General features: G+C 48.4%; 1 protein-coding gene across 4 annotated transcripts in view, besides 2 other annotated features; it reads left to right on the forward strand.

Annotated features, from left to right (window-relative positions):
• The window catches only part of PPP1R16B (protein phosphatase 1 regulatory subunit 16B), a 117,328-nt gene extending 105,343 nt beyond the window's left edge, over positions 1 to 11,985 (forward strand). For all 4 annotated transcript variants that reach the window (NM_015568.4, NM_001172735.3, XM_011528768.4 and 1 more), the window contains one exon: positions 7,118 to 11,985. In NM_015568.4, coding sequence (NP_056383.1) covers positions 7,118 to 7,627 — 510 coding nt within the window. In that variant the 3' untranslated portion in view covers positions 7,628 to 11,985. The remainder of the gene's footprint in view (positions 1 to 7,117) is intronic.
• Positions 9,315 to 10,186: an enhancer, noted in NCBI's record as "H3K4me1 hESC enhancer chr20:37548997-37549868 (GRCh37/hg19 assembly coordinates)". NCBI's record gives its function as "activates a minimal SCP1, AML or CMV promoter by ChIP-STARR-seq in naive H9 embryonic stem cells {active_cell/tissue: H9 hESC(naive)}" and the evidence as "EXISTENCE:reporter gene assay evidence [ECO:0000049][PMID:30033119]".
• Positions 14,996 to 15,355: a silencer, noted in NCBI's record as "silent region_12907". NCBI's record gives its function as "represses an Ori minimal core promoter by ATAC-STARR-seq in GM12878 lymphoblastoid cells {active_cell/tissue: GM12878}" and the evidence as "EXISTENCE:reporter gene assay evidence [ECO:0000049][PMID:35858748]".

Raw genomic sequence — 15,376 nt, forward strand, 5'->3', positions numbered from 1 at the left:
CTTGCTATGTTGCCCAGGCTGGTCTCAAACTCCTGGGCTCAAATGATCCTCTTGCCTCAGTCTCCCAAAGTGCTGGGATTATAGGCACGAGCCACTGTACCTGGCCTCATTCTTGTTTTTTTTTTCTTTTTCTTTTTTTTTTTTTGAGATGGAGTCTTGCTCTGTCCCCCAGGCTGGAGTGCATTGGCGCGATCTCGGCTCACTGCAACCTCCATCTCCCGGGTTCATGCCGTTCTCCTGCCTCAGCCTCCCTAGTAGCTGGGACTATAGGTGCCCACCATCACGCCCAGCTAATTTTTTGTATTTTCAGTAGAGACGGGGTTTCACCGTGTTAGCCAGGATGGTCTCGATCTCCTGACCTCGTGATCCACCCGCCTCAGTCTCCCAAAGTGCTGGGATTACAGGCGTGAGCCACCACGCCTGGCCGCCTCATTCTTTTTTATTGCTTTCTAGAATTCGATTGTTTGAATATTAAAATTTACATATCCATGCTCCTTTTTTTTTTTTTTTAAATTGAGACAGAGTCTCGCTTTGTCACCCAAGCTAGAGTGCAGTGGCGTGCTCTTGGCTCACTACAACCTCTGCCTCCCAGGATCAAGCGATTCTCCTGCCTCAGCCTCCTGAGTAGCTGGGATTACAGGTGCGTGCCACCACGCCCGGCTAATTTTTCTATTTTTAGTAGAGATGGGGTTTCGCCATATTGGCCAGGCTGGTCTTGAATTCCTGACCTCAAACGATCCACCCTCCTCGGCCTCCCAAAGTGTTGGTATTACAGGGGTCAGCCACTGCTCCTGGCCTCCATTCTCCTTTTGGTGGACATTTGGGTTTCTTGTTTCTGGCTCCTGTGAATAAAGCTCCTATAAACATTTTTGTACATGTCTTTTGGTGGACATAAGCACTATTTTGTGTTGGGAAAACACCCAGGAAAGCAGCTGGAGTCACGGGTAGGCATATGTTTAGCTTTAGTGGATACTACCAAGCAGTTTTCCAAGGTGCCTTGTACCTGTCTGCTTTCCCATGGCAGAGTGTTTCTTGCCAACCCTTGGTATAGTCAGTCTTTTTTTTTTTTTTTTTTTTGATACAGAGTTCCGCTCTTGTTGCCTAGCCTGGAGTGCAATGGCGCCATCTCGGCTCACTGCAATCTCCGCCTCCCGGGTTCAAGTGATTCTCCTGTCTCAGCCTCCTGAGTAGCTGAGATTACAGGCACCTGCCACCATGCCCAGCTAATTTTTGTGTTTTAGTAGAGATGGGGTTTCACCATGTTAAGGTGGGAATTCTCAAAGCATGGTCCCTGTACCAGCAACATCAGCATCACCTGGGAACTTGTTAGAAATGCAGACTTTGGCTGGGCACAGTGGATCACAAATCCTGTAATCCCAAAACTGAGGGAGGCTGAGGTGGGAGGATCTTCTGAGCCTAGGAGTTACTGGACAACATGGCAAGACCGTATCTCTACCCCCCACCAAAAAAAAAAAAAAAAAAAACAATTAGGTGGGTGTGATGGTGTGTACCTGTAGTCTTAGGTCTTGTGAGGCTGAGGCAGGAGGATTGCTTGAGTCGAGGAATTCAATGCTGCAGTGAGCTATGATAGCACCACTGAACTCCAGCCTGGGTGACAGAGTGAGGCGTGGTCTCTAAAAAAAAAATAAAAATAAATAAATGTAGATTCTCAGGACCCACTCCAGATGTGGCGATACTGCTGCACACAAGAATTTCAGAACCACTTATTTGAGGAATAATTTGTTCAGCCTGACCCCCAAATCACATTTCTTCCAAGGCTGTGCCCTGTTAGCCTTCAGGGATGACTTTGGTTCACTGTTTTTTGTTTTTGTTTTTTTCCTCTGAGACAAGGTCTCACTCTGTTGCCCAGGCTAGACTGGAGTGCAGTGGCGCAAACTTCGTTCACTATAGCCTCTGCCTCCCAGATTCAAGCAATTCTCCCACCTCAGCCTCCTGATTAGCTGGGACTACAGGCACCCGCCACCATGCCCAGCTAATTTTTGTGTTTTTTGGTAGAGATGGGGTTTCCCCATGTTGGCCAGGCTGGTCTCGAACTCCTGACCTTAAGTGATCCACCTGCCTTCGCTTCCCAGAGTGCTGGGATTACAGACATGAGCCACTGTGCCCCTTGTTTTTTAATCTGATGTTTAAGTAGCAGTACAGACAAACTAAATCAGAATCTCAGGAGTTGGGACCTCAGCATTGTATATGTTTGTCATTGGTGTTTTTTTTTAATTTTTTTTAGATGGAATCTTGCTCTGTTGCCAGGCTGGAGTGCAGTGGCTCAATCTTGGCTCACTGCAACCTCCGCCTCCCAGGTTCAAGTGATTTTCCTGCCTTAGCCTCCTGAGTAGCTGGAACTACAGGCGCACGCCACCATGCCCAGCTAATTTTTGTATTTTTAGTAGAGACGGGGTTTCACCATGCTGGCCAGGATGGTCTCAATCCCTTGACCTTGTGATCCACCCGCCTCGACCTCCCAAAGTGCTGGGATTACGGGCGTGAGCCACCATGCCTGGCCATGTCGTTGTTTTTTAAAGCTAAAGAGAGACTGTTTTTGAAGTGATTGCAGCAGTAAGTAGAATGCATCGACCACAGAATTGGCAAGATCTTGGAGGTCAAGGAGAAAGGAGTTCGTTTCCTAGGGAGGAAGACAGAGGCTGCAAGGACTGAGGGTTGGGGGTGGGATGAGCAGGTGGTGTAATTGGACAGTTGACCAGGAATGTGTGTCTGGTGGTCAGCCCATTTCCAGAACGGTCTTCAGGAGAGTTTTTCTGCATTGCAGTGCTTGTTTACCCTCAGGGTGAGTCAAAGTCCAGGATCCTGTGGGGAGGGGAGCAGCTTAACTAAAATTTGGTTAAATCATTTACCGCTGGGCGCAGTGGCTCACGCCTGTAATCCCAGCACTTTGAGAGGCCCAGGCAGGCGGATCATCTGAGGTCAGGAGTTTGAGACCAGCCTGGCCAACATGGCGAAACCCTGTCTCTACTAAAAATAGCCAGGCGTGGTGGCAGGTGCCTGTAATGCCAGCTACTTGGGAGGCTGAGGCAGGAGAATCACTTGAACCTGGGAGGCAGAGGTTGGAGTGAGCCAAGATTGCACCACTGCACTCCAGCCTGGGCAACAGAGTGAGACTCTATCTCAAAAAAAAAAAAAAATCATTTAGCAAGCATTTAATTTCGGTTGATAAATTGACAGTTTAATCATTTCAGAGGAAAAGAATGAGAATTTGGGGGACTGTGTTTGGGTTGTCCTAGGAAAAGGAGGGGTCGTCTGAGCGTTCTGGAAATCCTATGGGGAAGGGTGATTCTGTGCAGTCAGCCATTCCCCAGAACACAAAATGTGGGGGTTTTGTTTAACCTTCCTGTTGTCCAGTATCTCAGTTCAACATTGCCAAGATGATGGTGCCTACCACAAAGGGTGTTCTAGGGTCAATTGTGTTCTTATTTGTATAGAACTCAGCCCATAATTTGTACCTCATTAAGCATTAGGCAGATAAGTACATTTAGAAGTTCCCTGCATCATGAGAAAACCTCTTTCGTCTAACCCACATCCTTCAGGCTGGAGTTAATTCCTCTTCCTTCAATGCTCTGATTTCTGACACTGGAGATGGATATAGGTGGGTTTTGTTTTCTTTTGTTGAGACAGGGTCTCATTCTGACAGGGTCACTCAGGTTAGACTGCAATGGTACAAACATGGCTCACTGCAGCCTCACCCTCCTGGGCTCAAGTGATCCTCCTGCCCAGCCTCCCATGTAGCTGAGCCACAGGCACGCACCACCATGCCCAGCTAATTTTTAAATATTTGGGTAGTGATGAGGTCTCACTATGTTGCCCAGGCTGGTCTCCAACTCTTAGGCTGAAGCCATCCTCCCACCTCAGCCTACCAAAGTGCTGGGATTACAGGCATGAGCCACTGCACCCAGCAGGGATTTTTTTCTTTTTAAACTAATAGATTTTTTTTTTCCGAGCAGTTTTAGAACTCTAGAAAAATGAGTGGAAAGTACAGATATTTCCCATATACACCCCCCTCCACCCTGGTTTCCCCTGTTATTAACAACTAGCATTAGTGTGGTACATATGTTATCACTGATGAGCCAATATTGATACATTATTATGAACTAAAGCCCATAGTTTACATCGGGTTTGCTCTTTGTGTCGTAACTCCTGTGGGTTTTGACAAATGCATAATGTCATGTGTCCGTCATGATAGTGTCACACAGAATGCTCTCGCCACTTGGTTTAGGTGGTTATATTAGACAGTTGAGATTGTGAACAACTGGTGAAAGAGACCAGGGCTGTCCCACTAAACAGCCCTGGTATTCTACTTACGCTTCCTCCCCAAACTCTAGCAATCACTGATCTTCTACTGTTTTCATAAGTCTTGCTTTTCCAAAATGTTATATACGTGGAATTATATAATATGTGATGCTTTCAGATTGGTGTTCTATATGGTTTTTTTTTGAGACGGAGTCTCACTTTATTGCCCAGGCTGGAGTGCAGTTGTGCAATCTTGGCTCACTGCAACCTCTGCCTCCTGGTTCAAACAATTATCCTGCCTCAGCCTCCTGAGTAGCTAGGATTAGAGGCCTGCGTCACTGCGCCTGTCTAATTTTTGTGTTTTTCTTTTAGTAGACACAAGGTTTCACCATGTTGGCCAGGCCGGTCTCGAACTCCTGACCTCAAGTGATCCATCCACCATAGCCTCCCAAAGTGCTGGGATTATAAGCGTGAGCCACCACGCTCGGCCTGTACATGTTTTTTTTTAACTGTCTAGATGATGCCAATGTGCATCCAAGATGGGATCAGTGTCTCAGATCTTTGCCACTCTAAGCATCAGCAGGAAATTCTTAGAAGTGCCAAATTGCAGGCCCCAACCCAGACCTATTGAATCAGAATATGGATTTTAACAATATCCCTAGGCAACTCACATACACATCAAAGTTTGAGAAGCACTGACTAGGACCACCAAGAAACGGTCTCTCCATGACATGGCATCAGTCTGCCTGCATAGTTCAGAAGGAGCCATTAAAAAAAAAAAAAAGGTTGGACTCGGTGGCTCATGCCTGTAATCCCAGTGCTTTGGGAGGCTGAGGTGGGAGAATCATTTGAGACCAGGAGTTCAAGACCAGCCTGTGCAACATAGTGAGGCCCTGACTCTAAAAGGAGAAAGCGAAGAAATACACACTCATAAATGGAAACTTACTATGGAAAGTGTTCTTTGCCTTATCACATATTACCATATATATATATAACATATATATGTTATATATGTTATATATGTATGTTATATATAAATACATATATATGTTATATGTACATATATGTTATATATGTACGTTTTATATATATTTATATATGTATGTTATATATAAATATATGTTAGAAAACTAGATTATAAACTAGATTATATATATATATCTTGGACATCTTTCCATGCCAGCTTGTGGAGAATTCCTTCATTCTTTTTGCCAGCTACAGAGCATGCCAATAGAAGTACTGGCCACAGTGTCCTGCTTGCCCAATGATGACTTTCAGGCTTTGCACTAATGAGAGAGAAAATCTGTGAAATGGGCTTGCTGGTGCAAAGTATACAATCTTTTCTAAAAATTTTTATCATTATTATTGTTTTTATTTTTTACTGAAGAGCTGGGGAGAGAAGAAAGGAAAAAAAGAAAAAAATTTCAGTGAAGGATGATGCAAAACTGTCCATCAAAGAGACTGTAGCAATTTACATTCTCACTTATTTCCCCATACCCCTGCCAACACTGAGTAATAACACACTTTAAACGTATTTGTCAGTGTGATATCCAAAAGTGATATTTTGTTGTTTTAATTTTTATAGTATTAACGATTAGTGGGGATGAATATTATTCCAATGCCATGTATATCTATATATTTTGCTGTGGGCTACATATTAGTATCCCCTGCCTACTATTTTTATTGGGTAGATAGGCTTTTAAAAATTGACTTTTGGCTGGGTGCGGTGGCTCATGCCTGCAATCTCAGCACTTTGGGAAGCTGAGGAGTGTGGATCACTTGAGGCCAGGAGTTCAAGATCAGCCTGGCCAGCATGGTGAAACCCCATCTCTACAAAAATACAAAAATTTGCTGGGTGTGGTGGTACGTGCCTGTAATCCCAGCTACTCGGGAGGCTGAGGCAGGAGAATTGCTTGAACCCGGGAGGCAGAGGTTGCGGTGAGCAGAGATTGCGCCACTGCACTCCAGCCTGAGAGACAGAGCAAGACTCCGTCTCAAAAAAAAAAAAAAAAGGACTTTTAAGAGCTCTTTATACTTTTAGAAAATTAGTCTCTTTTCTGTAATATATGTTGAAAATATTTTCCTAGTTTCTTCATGTGTCTTTTGACCTTGTTCCCTGTTCATGGTGATTTTTGCTGTGCTTTAAATGTTGTTGCATGTATCTATTTTTTAGTTTATAGTTTTTAGGAAGCAGCTACTTTTCAAACTCTTGTTATCCAAGGATTATTAGGTGTACAGGATCCCTGGGTAAGAATCTTTGTGAGATATGCTTCATATACAGAGGAAGGATTACAAGTGACTGAAAAACCCAACTCAAATGGACTTACACACAAGGAATTTATTGGCTTGTGCAACTGAAAAGTCTGAGCCTGGAAGGATCCTGGACTTCAAATGGGTCATCAGGATGCAGTCTCTCTTAGCCTTTCTTCATGCCAACTTTACTTGCAAGCAGACCCTTCAACATAGTATCTCCCCAGCCCTCAGCTTACGTCATTCTTACTACCCACAGTTCCTACAGAAACTTCTCTTTCCCAGTTGTTCTAGCAAAAGTCCCAGGGTTGCTTCACTGAAGCAATTTCAGTTAAGAACTCATCCCTGGGCCAATCCCTGTAGTGAAATATGTTGACTAGCTAGGCCTTGGGTCATGATCCAGGCCCTGGAGCAAGGCCAGGGGTCGGTCAACTGTACGGAAATTCATAGATTGGGGGTTCCCCAAAGGAAAACCCTGGCCCCGATACCCAGGGAGAGAAAACAGATAGAGGAAAAGTCCAAACAATAATGCCCTCAGCAGAGAGACAGGTGGATAGTAGGTTCAGATCTTCCAGCCAGCTGGTAATGTTGTCCTTCTCACTCGCAGAACCCCAGGCTGGAGAAGCCCGTGCTACTCTCCGAATTTCCTACCAAGATCCCACGAGGTGAACTGGACATGCCTGTTGAGAATGGCCTCCGGGCTCCGGTCAGTGCCTACCAGTATGCGCTGGCCAACGGGGATGTCTGGAAGGTGCATGAGGTGCCTGACTACAGCATGGCCTATGGCAACCCTGGCGTGGCCGACGCCACCCCGCCCTGGAGCAGCTACAAGGAACAGAGCCCTCAGACGCTTCTGGAGCTGAAGCGGCAGCGGGCTGCAGCCAAGCTGCTCAGCCACCCCTTCCTTAGCACACACCTGGGCAGCAGCATGGCCAGGACGGGCGAGAGTAGCAGTGAAGGCAAGGCCCCCTTGATCGGAGGCAGAACTTCACCGTACAGCAGCAATGGGACCTCGGTATATTACACGGTCACCAGCGGAGATCCCCCACTCTTAAAGTTCAAGGCCCCCATAGAGGAGATGGAGGAGAAGGTGCATGGCTGTTGCCGTATCTCCTAGTCTCCGTGTGATGGAGGAGGGAGATGCCTGGGGAGGGGCTCCTGGAATCCAGGCCAGCCCAACAGCCCTGGCTGGGGAGGTGTCAGGGCAGCTGGGGAGAGGTGGGCTCTGCTTTTCAGAGGAACTCAGACCCCAGCCCTCAGCTGGCTGCCCATAGCATCCCATGTCCCACGTCCCGTGGTTCTGCTTCCTGCTGCATCGTCTGCCATCTGACACAAGGCCTGTCGTGGCCTCCTGGTTCACTCTGCTGTCTGATCTTGGGAGGGTGGGCTTGAGATCCCAGCTCTATTCTTGGTATAAAGGCTTCTCCGGATCAGTACATGCATGTCACATTAACACACACACACACACACATATACACACACACACAAGCTCGATCAGTGTGTGTAGGAATGACATACCTGGGCTCAGGGGAAGCAAGGGGGCTTAGAATTTGTGGGGTATTCCCAAAAGGATGGAAGTTAAGACTCAGAGTCTCATTACCACTGCCAATGTGGTTTTAGCAGGGGAGGGGACCTGCTAAGCTGAGACCCATAGTCCTGCTCAGAGTTATCCCAAAGTCTGAGCCACCAGCCACACCTGACAGGGGTGAGAAGTCCTCGCTGTGTTCAGAGGGAGCCAGGAATCTACATGGGTAGATGAGATAGACACAGACCTGCTCCCCGCAGCCTTGTTGAGAGCCACACTTCTGCCCATGCCAGGAGCCAGCTGTGTGACCATCCAGGGGTGGAGGGGGAAAACCAGGCAATTTCGTTCCTGGAATCAACCAAATCATGTTTTCCTCTTGGATGGAAGTGTCAAAGGCAGAAGGGTGTGGGAGGGGGACAAGGTCAGTATTTACCAAAGTGTATCTGATTTTAAAAATTCCTTTAGTCTGTAAAACTCCTAGAGGGAGGGAGGTAACTGAATTCACTTCTTTTTGTGGATCGTATCAAGGTCACTGGGTTTTACTGGCTGGTGCTGGGAAAATGAAGCTAAGTGAGGAGCTTCCATTGGAATGCTTTTCCAGGGAGAGAGGCCAGTTAATTTAAAAAAAACAGTCGCTAGTTAACAGCGACAGAGCCCAGCACCCTGGGGTCTTTGTGAATATCCAGACTGTTTCAGCCCAGCCCATCTCAGCCAACCCTCCTTAGACTGAGCTGTCAGAGCAAGCAATTAGGGGCCAGCCTGCCTCCACCTCCCACCCCCTTCCACCTCCATCAGTCATGTGTGCAGAGTCAGTGCTCGGGATCCCGGGCCCAGCTTTTGCCTTTTTGGGGATGCTTGGTGAGACAGATTTGCCAGTCAGCCCTTTTGAGTTCCCGCCTCACCCAGGGGCTCCCAGCCTGCACTTGCAGGAGTGGTGATGCCCCAAGTCTGCGAATCCAGGGTGCACGTGGTCAATATCCCCTCCTGCATTCAGGAGAGCCATGGTAGGGCTAGAGTTGGGTCTTGCCCAGCCCTGCAGTTTCATAGTCCCAGCCTTCCTGGTGCTGGGGAGGGAGGACTGTGAATGGCTGTTCTCCCCTCACTGCTGAGTCTCCCAGGACCCCCTTTGGAGATGCCCATGGCATGGGCACTGCCCACAGGCTCAGCCAGAACCTCTTGGTGTACCCGATAAGCTGCAGGTTATCCCTTGCTCTGTGCGCCTTTTATTTGTCCTTAAACTACCTCCTTAGAGCTCTGAAGGGGTCTCCTAGTTCCAGATTTTAATTTGGGGAACAGATCTGGGTTCTTTTTAACCCTCTTCTTTCTCAGTCTATGAGAAACTTGCCCTGAGGGGCACCTGGGCTAGGGGCTTGGGACTGGAAGACCATCCCCGCCTTGTGCCACAACTTTGGTCATGGGATCTGCTCTTTGTCATTCTTAGCCCCCTACTGTGGCCCCCATAGCCCCATAACCCAGAGAGGGAGCTGGACTTCAGGGAGCCTGAGTGATGCTTTCCCAGGAGCAGGGCAGCTGGCTGGACCAGAAAGTAGAGGGCCCATGGGAGTGACTGCACCCTTGGTGGCTGCTGGAAGGGGAGAGGTTCTCAGCATCAGGCCACCTCCACCCCAATGCCAGGATAGATGTATTCTAGAGTAGGGGTGGAGGCGGCCCAGGAGGCTGAAGACAGGTGCACAGATGCTTCCCACGACCTTGCCATTTGGGGTGGGCTCTTCAACATCTCAGGCTGTGGCTGGAACAGGACAGGATGATCTAAAACACACGTACCATTGGCTGTAAAACAGTATGAGCCCAGACTGACGCTGAAATCCCTCATGAGCCAACCTTAGCTACAAGGTAGGGAGTTCTGAGGGAAGCCGCGTGCTCCTCAGGAGAGAGCTGTTTAGGTTTTCCGATCTTTTTGCTCAGGGGCCAAACACTGAAGGCACGTACTGCCCAACCCACTGAGCGCCTGAGGCCATTCCCTCCTTTTCCGCATGCCTCCTGCCTCCTGGGCTATTCCTCTCCACCCAGAAGGCTGGGAATCCCAGCTGATTCCCTGACAGGAGCCGACTTCACACACAGGTGACTCTCAGGCATTGGCTCATGTTTTCAGCCAGGGATAAACCATCCCTTCTTGGGGCTTTAAGTCCCTGGGGAGCTTTCCCTGTAGGTCTCCTGGGTGTTGAGAGACAAGTTGGAGACCAACCTCCAATGAATGAGCCGCGGTCATTCATTAATTCACTCACGTAATTTACTGAGTAGCTGCAACATGCCAGCCTCTACGTTAGGTTCTGCGGATAAAGGAGGAATAAGACAGAGTCAGGAGAACTGTTCCTTGTGGTTTCCGTCCCTTGGGGACCACAGGCATCAGCAGTCCCATTCAAGTCACCTGAGGCAAAGTGTCTGCATCTTCGTCCAGCGACCCTTTGCTTTTCGGCTCCTAGAATCCTTAGAGTCTGAATTCCTTTAGCTGGGAACAGCTGTCATGGTCACCCCTGGATAACATTTGCCACCAAGTATAGATGCTGGATCTTGGGTTCCAGGCAGACATCATCCAGGTCCATCTGGAACTTTCAGTGATAGCTGCCTTCAGCCAGCATCTTTGGGGGACTCTATAATAGCAGCTTGAGATCAGTGTCTAGAAGACTGTTCTGCAATTTGCTGCCAAATGCATCTCAGGTTTTTAAAGTCATTGTTTCTTGCTCATGGTGGCTCATTTATTACATAGTCCCCTCACCCCACTAATGGATAATGGGAGGAAAAGTTGCTGCTTCCTTCAGCATCAAAGCCTTTCCTTGGGAATCTGCCTCCCTCCATGGCAGGGGTGGATTCGGGAGCTGGGAGTAACCAGGCAAAGTCAACCAGATGCCTAGCTCCTGCTGAGACCCAGGTCCTATGGCAGCTCCTCATTAGATTAAAGGAGACCACTTCCAAAGCAGGTGCTGCATGGCTCACCATCATATGCCCCAAACAACTGAAAGTTGGCGGTTATCACCAGACTGTGAGTTTCTGGCAAGTAGCTTGGGGAAGCTGAATAAACTCTAGGCCCAGGGCTACTAAAGACTTCAGGATAGAATTCTCCATCAAATATACAGCATAAGTAAAACTGCTCTGCACTGTTTAATCCATTTCCAAGGGGCTTAGAAAAGCTAACAAGGGTGTGTCCCCTGTCCTGCCCCACCGGTTTGCTGGCTTTGTAATAACATAAGACCATTGTGGTTGTTGGTGTCAGATACCTTCCCATCCTGAGCTCTCTCACCTACCTGCTCTCTCTCCTAGAGCAGGATACTGGGGTACTTTTAAGAAGGGTGCTCCTTTTAAGATGCCCAGAAAAGCTGTATTTAACTCTTGCTATTTGTAACTTGGGGATGGTCTCCCCTGCCCCAGGGCACATAAGAGCAAAGGCTCCAATGGTCAGTGGATGACTCTGCAAAAGTGACCCCCTGTGCCAGAAGCTATAGCCCTCTCCCCAACAGGTCTCTCTTGTTGGCCAGAGGGCCTGCTTCCCATGGGCATTGCAAGTGCCACCGTGCGGGGCCTGGCTCTGCACACCCAGGAAAAGTCTGCAGACCCCCAGCCCTCCGCAATAATTCACCAGACCAGAAGCCACTGGTGTACAGAGAACACTTAAAAAAATGTATTTTATGTGAAAAAAAATTAAAACTCTGTATACTGTATCAGCAGCTTTGTGTAAAAATGGCAATCAAGAGAGTCTAATATATTTAAAACTTTTTTAAAAAAAATCTTCGCAGATCTTTGATATCGTACTGAGGTAACTTCCACGTAGCCCCTTGCCACGCGGCACCGGTGGGCCTTGGGTCCAAAACTGTGGCTCAGCCACATCCCAAAGGGGGCACATGTCCCTGGAGTTGCTTCCAGCTGCCAAGGCCTGTGACAGAATTCGCTGTTAAGAGTTTTTAATTAAAATTATTAAATTCCTTTTAATAACACCTGCTAGTGTGAGTGATTATTGCTGTGAGCTCACTTGAACAGTGCTGACTTGAATTCACAAAGAGGAGGTTCCTGGAATAGAGGGTGGGTGAGAGCTCCTAGTCTCTTCCCCCTTACCCCACCCCTTTCCCACAGAGGGCTTTCCCATGAGACCCCTGAAATAGAGGGAGCTCTGGGGGCTCAGACCTGGAGCAGATGTCTCCCCAGACTAGGAGATGGTGAAAACTGATGAATTCAAGAAAAGGTGGGTGGTTGGGAATGACCTTCATTCTGTCAAATAATCTCTTTGAAATTAACATGAGGCCGTATAGTAGCATATATTTATTCCATACATTTTCAAAGTTTTTCCTGATATTTATTTATTTATTTTTATTTTTTTAAGATGGAGCCTCACTCTTTCACCCAGTCTGGAGTGCAGTGGCGTGATCTCAGCTCACTGCAACCTCTGCCTCCCGGGTTCCAGCAATTCTCCTGCCTCAGCTTCCCAAGTAGCTGAGATTACAGGCGCTCGCCGTGATGTCCAGCTAATTTTTTGTATTTTTAGTGGAGATAGAGTTTCACCATGTTGGCCAGGCTGGTCTCCAACTCCTGACCTCAAGTGATCCTCCCGCCTTGAGCTCCCGAAGTGCTGGGATTATAGGCGTGAACCACCACGCCCCGCCTCTCATGACATTTATATGTAACAAGGGTGCCCCTCTCCTCTGTCCCATTCTTGGAGTGAACTGACATGTCCTGTCCTCTTCCCCCTGCCCCATTCCACTCTTTCCCCTCGTGTGCTTATTGTGGGGAAGTACGATACTATAAAGTACTTCACCTTATGACAGCAATACAGCAGCTAAGGCCCCGGCCATTCTCATTTTTTACCTCGAGCATTAAAGGCATAGAGAAGCTATGTGGTTGCACAGCCTCAGACCACAGTCCTTGGTCCTTGTCCCACACAGAACTTTGTTGGTGTTTTTCTTGAAAGAGGATGAAAAGGGTGTCGGATCACAAGGTCAGGAGTTCGAGACCAGCCTGGCCAACGTGATGAAACCCCATCTCTACTAAAGATGCAGAAAATTGGCCAGGTGTGGTGGCATGAGCCTGTAATCCCAGCTACTCAGGAGGCTGAGGCAGGATAATCGTTTGAACCCTGGAGGCGGAGGTTGCAGTGAGCCGAGATCACGCCATTGCACTCCAGCCTGGGTGACAGGGCAAGACTCCGTCTCAAAAAAAAAAAAAAAAAAAAAAAAAAGAAGGTGCTCTCTTGCAGCCTCCCGGACCCTGGATACCAGCGCAGGGACACATGGAAGTCCCCACACTTATTCTTGAGAAACTTCACAAAGGGATGGGGATGGGGAGAGGAGAGGTAGAGAGGGAGAGGCGTCTCAACAGCGGCAGGCATTCATCCATTTAAAAAGGTTATTGGTTGCTAAATAATAATGGTAACATCTCACATTTATGACCCACTTTTCATTTACATAAAAAAGATGACGACTGAAAATTGACTGTTGGATTTAGCTCTGTGGAACTCATGATGAACCTGACAAGAGGTTTTGGTAAAGCAGTGGGGGTTTTAGCCTGATTGAAGAGGGCTGGAAGGGAACTGGAGACAGCAAGTATAGACAACTGGTTTGAGGGTTTCTTTTCTTTTCTTTTCTTTCTTTCTTTTTCTGAGACAGGGTCTTACTCTGTCACCCAGGCTGGGGTGCAGTGGTGTGATCATAGTTCACTACAGCTGCAAACTCCTGGGCTCAAGTGATCTCTTGCCTCAGCCTTCCCACTGGCTGGGACCATCATGAGCACTGCCATGCACTAAAAGTTAGGCGCACCACCATGCCCAGCTAACTTTTGTATTTTTTTGTAAAGACAGGGTCTCACTATGCTGCCCAGGCTGGTCTCAAACTCCTGGGCTCAAGTGATCCTCTTCCCTTGGCCTCCCACAGTGCTGGGATTACAGGTGTAAGTCACCATGGCCAGCCACATCTGAGATTCTATGCTGCAAAAATAAGAAGTGAGATGGGGAGCTTTAGAGGAATGTAGGGTCAAGAGAGGGTTGTTTTAAGATGAAAAATATTTCAGCATGCTTGTAGGCTGATAGAAATGAATCGGTAAAGAGGGAAGCTGATGTTCCAGGAGAAAGAAGAAGATTGCTGGAGCGATGCTGGTGAGTAGTAGAGGGGCTGGAAATGCCCAGGCAGAGGGGTTGGGGTTGGATGGGCACAGGCACAGTTCATCAATGCCCAGTATACGGGCAGAGATGCAGACAGGAAGGTAGACTAGATGGCCGCACGTGGACGTTCCCTTCTTACTGTTTCTGTGTTCTTGCTGACATGGAAGACAAGCTGTCAGAGAGGAAAAGGTAGAGAGAATGAGGGAAATGCGGCCTACCAGGCAGTTTTTTTGTTTGTTTGCTTTTGTTTTGTTTTGTTTTGTTTTTAGATGGAGTTTCGATCTTGTCGCCCAGGCTGGAGTGCAGTGGTGCTATCTCGACTCACTGCAACATCCGCCTCCCGCGTTCAAGTGATTCTCCTGCCTCAGCCTCCCGAGTATCTGGGATTACAGGCGTACACCAAGACACCTGGCTAATTTTTGTATTTTTAGTAGAGACGGGGTTTCACCGTGTTGGTCAGGCTAGTCTCAAACGCCTGACCTTAGGTGATCCGCCCTCCTCGGCCTCCTAAAGTGCTGGGATTACAGGCGTGAGCCACCGCGCCCGGCCTCCTAGCAGGCAGTCTTACGGATTATGAATTTAAAACATGACCAGTCAGTAAGCATGGTTACGCTCTTTTTGTTTTTTCTTCAGCCCTGTAGGGCTGCCGGGGTGCAGGTGGAAAGTAGGGTATAACCACGGTTGGTTGGGGTTTTACAAGGCAAAAATCGATGAAATGAGAGAAGACTACCCGAGGGTGTAATCAAAGGAGCAGTCCTAATACGATGAGCCGGTATTCTTTGAATGAATGAATACATGGTTAAAGGCAGGTGATAAAGGCGATATGGTTGGCCATGCCAAAGCACTGAGAGCCTAGGAGCAGCGTGGCCAGAGTCTCCGGGAGTCGGCACCTGCCTCTCCTCGTTGTCTAGGCCTGACTGTCCCTGGCCTTGCACGGCCGCGCAGCGGGGCGACCGGCAGGGGGCGCGCTGGGATGGCCAGGAGCTCGGCTCTCCCCGCTCTGTCCCTGCTCTGCGGCCCGCCTCGCCCCTGCAAGTTTAAATTCCTCTTAGCAAGCCCAGCATCGCAGCCAATAACGCATCAGGGGGCGGAGCCGTAGAGGCTTGCGCCCCGCCTCGCTCCGCTATTGGAAGGAAAGCAGCCAATGGGAGAGCCGAGGCGGGGAGGTGCGGCCAATGGCGCGGGCCTGTTTGATTCAAAGGTTGCCTATAAAGCGGGACTGCACGCCGGTTTTTGTC

This window comes from Homo sapiens, chromosome 20, assembly GCF_000001405.40.
Source record: "Homo sapiens chromosome 20, GRCh38.p14 Primary Assembly".
Classification (NCBI taxonomy): Eukaryota; Metazoa; Chordata; class Mammalia; order Primates; family Hominidae; genus Homo; species Homo sapiens.